Source organism: Homo sapiens, chromosome 1, assembly GCF_000001405.40.
Source record: "Homo sapiens chromosome 1, GRCh38.p14 Primary Assembly".
NCBI classification, from domain to species: domain Eukaryota; kingdom Metazoa; phylum Chordata; class Mammalia; order Primates; family Hominidae; genus Homo; species Homo sapiens.
This window is the reverse complement of record NC_000001.11, coordinates 148,352,409-148,357,780: the sequence shown is the minus strand read 5'-3', so window position 1 is coordinate 148,357,780 and position 5,372 is coordinate 148,352,409. Positions and strand designations below refer to the sequence as shown.

Below are 5,372 nucleotides of genomic sequence, written 5' to 3'. Positions count from 1 at the left end.
TGGGGAGCTTAGGAATCTTGTGGCTTCTGGCTTCATAGCTCCTGAGCCATAATTTCCAATCTCGTGCCTAATTTGTTAACTTTGCTAAGGAGGTCTGATCCCCAAGAAAGGAAGAGGTTTGTCTCGGGAAAGGGCTATCATCTTTGTTTCACACTTAGACTTGGAACTAAACTCCTCTCATATTTAGCCTGGCTTATGTCCAGGAATGGACAAGGGAAGCTTGGAGGTTGGAAGCAAGATGCAGTGCTCAGGGTCACTTAGCCAGGGAAGGAGGATGTGAAAGCAAGAATTTGAAGTGAAGGCAGCCTAGCTCCAGAAGACATTCTCAGAACCACTGTGTTTATATTGCTCCTAATGAAAGTGCCCTGGAAAAAATTATGACAGTGAGAAAAACTTGACATAGAAAAAGTATGACAGTGAAAGAAATCTGACCAGAGTGACCCTGGGCAGGTAACTTAACATCTCTGCATCTCAGTTGTCTCATATGGAAGATAAAGATGATGGTGTGACCTTGGCCTGTGGTAAAGACTAAATAAGTAATTATGCACACTCATTGTCTGTGCCTGACATGTGGCACTTGGCATGTCAGGCACAGTTGATGAGTGTTCATATGTTACTTATTTGCATGTTAGCTCTTGTATTATGCCTGCAACACTGCACAAAGAGCAGATGTGACCAGGTGCAAGGGCTCATGCCTATAATCCCAGCACTTTGGGAGGTCGAGTGGGCAGAGCACCTGAGGACAGCAGTTCGAGACTAGCCTGGCCCTCATGGAGAAACTCCATCTCTACTAAAAATACAAAAATTAGCCTGGCATGGCAGTGCACCTGTAATCCCAATTGCTTGGGAGGCTGAGGCAGAAGAATCACTTGAACCCAGGAGGCAGAGGTTGCAGTGAGCTGCGATTGTGCCACTGCAGTCTAGCCCGGGTGATAGAGTGAGACTCCATCTCCAAAAAAATAAATAAACCAAAAGAGCAGATATGATGACAATTTGTTGTATTGAAGTTACAGCAGTGATACTTTCCAGTGGCTGTGCACCCTCCCAGGGAAACTGCAGCAATCTTCTCACCAGCAGTAATCTCCTGGGCTGGGAGGTCCCAGGAAGGCCCCTCAATCTCCAGCAGGTTTGACCCTCAAGGAGATTCAGGGAATGAGCTAGAGAAGTATTTCTATCTGGGAGGAACTGGGGGTTTGTTAGCTCATCTGTTCAGTTCATCCAAAGGGGAATAATGATTCAATTTCTTGCTTCAAACCTGCCTCAATAAAATTTTTACAGTTTTACAGTGGAAGACATTTTGTACATGTAAGGGAGGAAATATGACTCTTCCTCACCCAGCCTAGGTTCACTGCTGAGAACCTTATAGCAAAAGACAGACTAACAAGAGAAGAGCATATCTAGTTATTTAATGTAAGTTTTACATGATAGAAGAAGAGCCTTCCTAAAGAAATGAAGACCTGAAGAAACAGCTAAACTTCAAGTTGTTTTTTTTTAACGGTATGTTTGATGACTAGTGGATAGTCATAGAGAAGTGAGATATGATGAAAGGAGTATGATCTAATGGTAATAAACTGGGGGAAATGTAGCCAGGCCTGTGTGCTCAGACTCTGTGTCGCTGTGTCTTCAGACACAGCAATGCATCTTTCCTCTGGGTACAGAGAGAGCACCTCTCACATGAGAGCCTTATGATCTGCTTTGGGGAAGAAGGGCAGGGGGAGGGTGACAGTGACCTTCCTGCTTTTGTTGTTTTCTCAAATTCCTTTAGCATAAAATATTCAATACCCCAAGGTGTTATATTTTGGAGTAGTGTGTCCTGAACCTCACCATATACATGCTACAAAACTCAGAATCTTTGAAGAGTGATACTTATGACTATAAAATATTTAAATTCAAAATACAAATGATGGCTGGGCATGGAGGCCAGCACGTAATCCCAGCAATTTGGGAGGCCCAGGCAGGCAGATCACTTGAGTCCAGGAGTTCGAGACCAGCCTGGCCAACATGGCAAAACCCCTGTCTCTACAAAATTAGCTAGGCACCGTGTTGTACACCTGTGGTCCCAGCTACTTGAGGAGGACGGGCTGAGGATCAATTTAAACAATATCATATGTAAAAACAATTTTTTTTCCTTTAAGTTTAGTCAAGTGAAGCAGTGGGAGTGGAGAAGGAACAAAGAAATCTGTAGCTAGTTGTGATAATTGGTTGTAAACAGGAAGGATTTTTGATGCACTGTACAGTTACCAGTTACATATGCTCTAAAGCTGGTGGTGAACAGCAACAACAGCAGTGTTCTGGTCCCCCCTACACTTTTTTCTAGGGATAACAATTTTGTTTTCTTCCTTCCTTCCTTCTTCCTTCCTTCCTTTTTTCCTTCTTTCTTTTCTTTTCTTTTTTTTTTTGCGACGGAGTCTTGTTCTGTCGCCAGGCTGGAGTGCAGTGGCGCCATCTCAGCTTCAGCTCACTGCAACCTCCGCCTCCCAGGTTCAAACGATTGCCTTGTCTCAGCCTCCCGAGTAGCTGGGATTACAGGCACGCGCCAAGACGCCCGGCTAATTTTTGTATTTTAGTAGAGACGGGGTTTCACCATGTTGGCCAAGATGATCATCTCCCGACCTCGTGATCCGACTGCCTCGGCCTCCCAAAATGCGGGATTACAGGTGTGAGGGATAACAATTTTCAATGCATGCAGTCAACCTCTACATATTGTTGCTCTTTGACTGCCCAGTTTTCCATCCTAGGCCCTGCAGTCCAGCCTGCAAGGGGAAATGGAATTTGTGTGTTTTCCTTCCTATCAGTCCACTCCAAGGAGCCAACAAGGCACCTCTCTCCCGTCTCCCACCCCACACCTCCGCACGCCCTCCAAACTGAGCCCCTCAAAGACTGCGGTGTTTTTCAGTCCTTCGTAACCGCTGAAAATTTTCATATTTGCAAAATATGAAAATCAGAGCGATGGTCCTGAGCGTCTGGCGGGACATCTTAGCTTGCTCTCAAGACCCACCATAAGCCGCATCCAAAGTGTTCCGCCAAGCAGAAGAAAAGATTTTTCATCTGTCGCGTCCTAAGGCATCTTCTCCTTGGGGCAAGGTACTGGCAGGAAGAGGGGGAGCCCCCACCGTCCCGCACTCATCCCTCCGAGCTGCTCAGGCTCCTCTTACCCGTGGTGCTGCGGGAGACCGGCCCGGCGACCGAAGGTCAGAACCCGCGCTCCCGGCCCGGGCGCTTGAAGAGGCCGCCGCGCGGATTTCTCTTTACGGTTGAAATTTTGGGACGAAAGAATGAGATTTCCTGGAGTCGGGTTCCAAAGCTTAGTGAAACAGCGACTTTTAGGTCCCGCAATAGAGACGTAGGAGCTAGAAATTAGGCATGGAAATCTGAATATGAAGAACAGAGTAAATTAACATTCGGAAGAGGATGGGCCATCCGAATAAAACAGTGTTACTTCTAAGTTAGGTCTCAAACCATCTACCCTAAACTGAGACATAATCACCAATGACTGAGCTAACCCCATCAAAATTTCTCACGTCACCGTTTACTTACCAAAAAGACAATGGATGCGATTACGAGATTTCCCGAGTGAAAGGAATCTCGGGGTCTAGCACTGAGGGGCCGCAGCCCTTTTAGTGTAGGAAACCTATCACCCCGAGGCCCAGGGTCGCCCTGAGAGGGGATGGGGACTTGTTCGGTTGCTGGGACGCTGGCTGCGGGGTCCGGGCCTCCGATTGCAGGGGGCCGGGAGGCTCGCCCAGGACTGGGACCAGGATTGGTGACTCCGATGGGATGTTTGGGCAATTTCCCTGTGGAGCAGGCCACTGCAAGAAGCCGGTTTCTGGGACCCAGACCACTGAGGAGGAAAAGGGAGAGGAGGAGGGACATCGTAGGGGACGCATTGCGAGGCCGGAGCAGGAGGGACACGGGAGAGGAGGAGGGACATTGCAGGGGACGCATTGCGAGGCCGGAGCAGGAGGGACTAGGGGATTTGCAGCAGCAGAGCTTCCTTCCCCGGGACCCAAACCTTCCTTTCTCTTCTTTAACCCAGGACTTGGTACGAAGGGCAAATGTAAACCACATCCCTTTCACTCTGTCTTTGAGGGTGGAGTTTGCTTCCCAAAGTGGCTTCTGGCTCCAGAGTAAAAGGCCAGCAGACACCAAGGTACCACCGAGATTTGAACTCGGATCGCTTGATTCAGAGTCCAGGGTGCTCACCATTAACCCATGGAACCAGCTGTTGAGAATACTCTCAGTTATGAGCATTTGACAAGTGAATTCTCAGCCTCCATAGTCACCAGAATTTCCTTTTCAGGTATTTTTTTCTCTTTGTCACACAGGACTTGAGTACCTTTAATCTACAATAGGAGGAGTCGCCCCAGACTTACCTCTCTCTGCCCTTCTCTTTAGGTTTCTATCTCAGAGAATGAGATTAAGCACCTTTCAGGATTAGGAACAGAGAAGAGCTATATTTAGGCCTCCACTAAAGCCAACAGTTCTGCCTGGGTTGCCAGAGTTTCCTGCTCTGAAATAAACATTCTGCCGAGACCCTCTACCCGCTGGGGTTTCTTTCTTTTTCTTTGCAAATTTCCTTTTCCCTTTATCCATGGGGCACTGATAACCATTTCTGGAACAAGATTTGGGATATGCTGGAATTTCTGCTCTTCTTATTCTGCCTTCTTCTCCTCCTCTTTCTCCTCCTCCTCTCCTTCTGTTTCCAGTCCCCTCTCTCTCCTGCTCCCTGTCTTCCTCACACTACCCCCACACCCATTTTCCCCAGCTCCCTCCAGCTTTCTATACTTCCTGCCTCCTCCTCCTTCTCTGCTCCTTTTTGGCTACCGTTCCTCTTCCTTCTCTAGGCTCCCACCCTACCCACCACCAGCCTCCCACACGCAGCCTACACTAACAGAAGAATGGCTACCACGAGCTGAGAGGAAGTTGAGGAATATGTTTCTAGTCAGGACACTTTGGGGGATCTTTGCTGGGGATTGTGAGTGCGGTGACACCAACCGAGATGATGAATATCAGCCAGTCCTTGAGGCCTGGGGAGGACCAGCAGATCCAAGGCCACCCCATACCTGGGGTGACCCAGAAGAGTCATGTTCACATTCCAAAAGGCTAAATCTGATTGCGAAAGTCCAAGGAAATTGAAAGCAGTAGGAGCCATCGTCTTTGCAAGTCCAGTTCCAAGTGGAAGGATCATGGTGCTTCCTTCCAGTCACCACAAGGTCAGCACACAGGCATTTGCATTGCCTAGGACTCAACTGGTACCCTGGATCCCTGGCTAGGGCCTGTCCAGAGAAAAGCTAGGCGTGGGGCCCATTTCCACCTAGGCAGAGGTTCCTGGGGAAGTTAGGTGCTCACCAAGAGATTGCCCCTTACCATCC

The 5,372-nt window shown here is 48.3% G+C and overlaps 1 pseudogene, besides 3 other annotated features; it reads right to left on the bottom strand.

Annotated features, from left to right (window-relative positions):
• Window positions 2,636-3,445: an enhancer, noted in NCBI's record as "H3K4me1 hESC enhancer chr1:147826464-147827273 (GRCh37/hg19 assembly coordinates)". NCBI's record gives its function as "activates a minimal SCP1, AML or CMV promoter by ChIP-STARR-seq in primed H9 embryonic stem cells {active_cell/tissue: H9 hESC(primed)}" and the evidence as "EXISTENCE:reporter gene assay evidence [ECO:0000049][PMID:30033119]".
• Window positions 3,446-4,256: an enhancer, noted in NCBI's record as "H3K4me1 hESC enhancer chr1:147825653-147826463 (GRCh37/hg19 assembly coordinates)". NCBI's record gives its function as "activates a minimal SCP1, AML or CMV promoter by ChIP-STARR-seq in primed H9 embryonic stem cells {active_cell/tissue: H9 hESC(primed)}" and the evidence as "EXISTENCE:reporter gene assay evidence [ECO:0000049][PMID:30033119]".
• Window positions 4,025-4,124: a silencer, noted in NCBI's record as "silent region_1285". NCBI's record gives its function as "represses an Ori minimal core promoter by ATAC-STARR-seq in GM12878 lymphoblastoid cells {active_cell/tissue: GM12878}" and the evidence as "EXISTENCE:reporter gene assay evidence [ECO:0000049][PMID:35858748]".
• Window positions 4,149-4,220, bottom strand: TRQ-CTG9-1 (tRNA-Gln (anticodon CTG) 9-1; annotated as a pseudogene).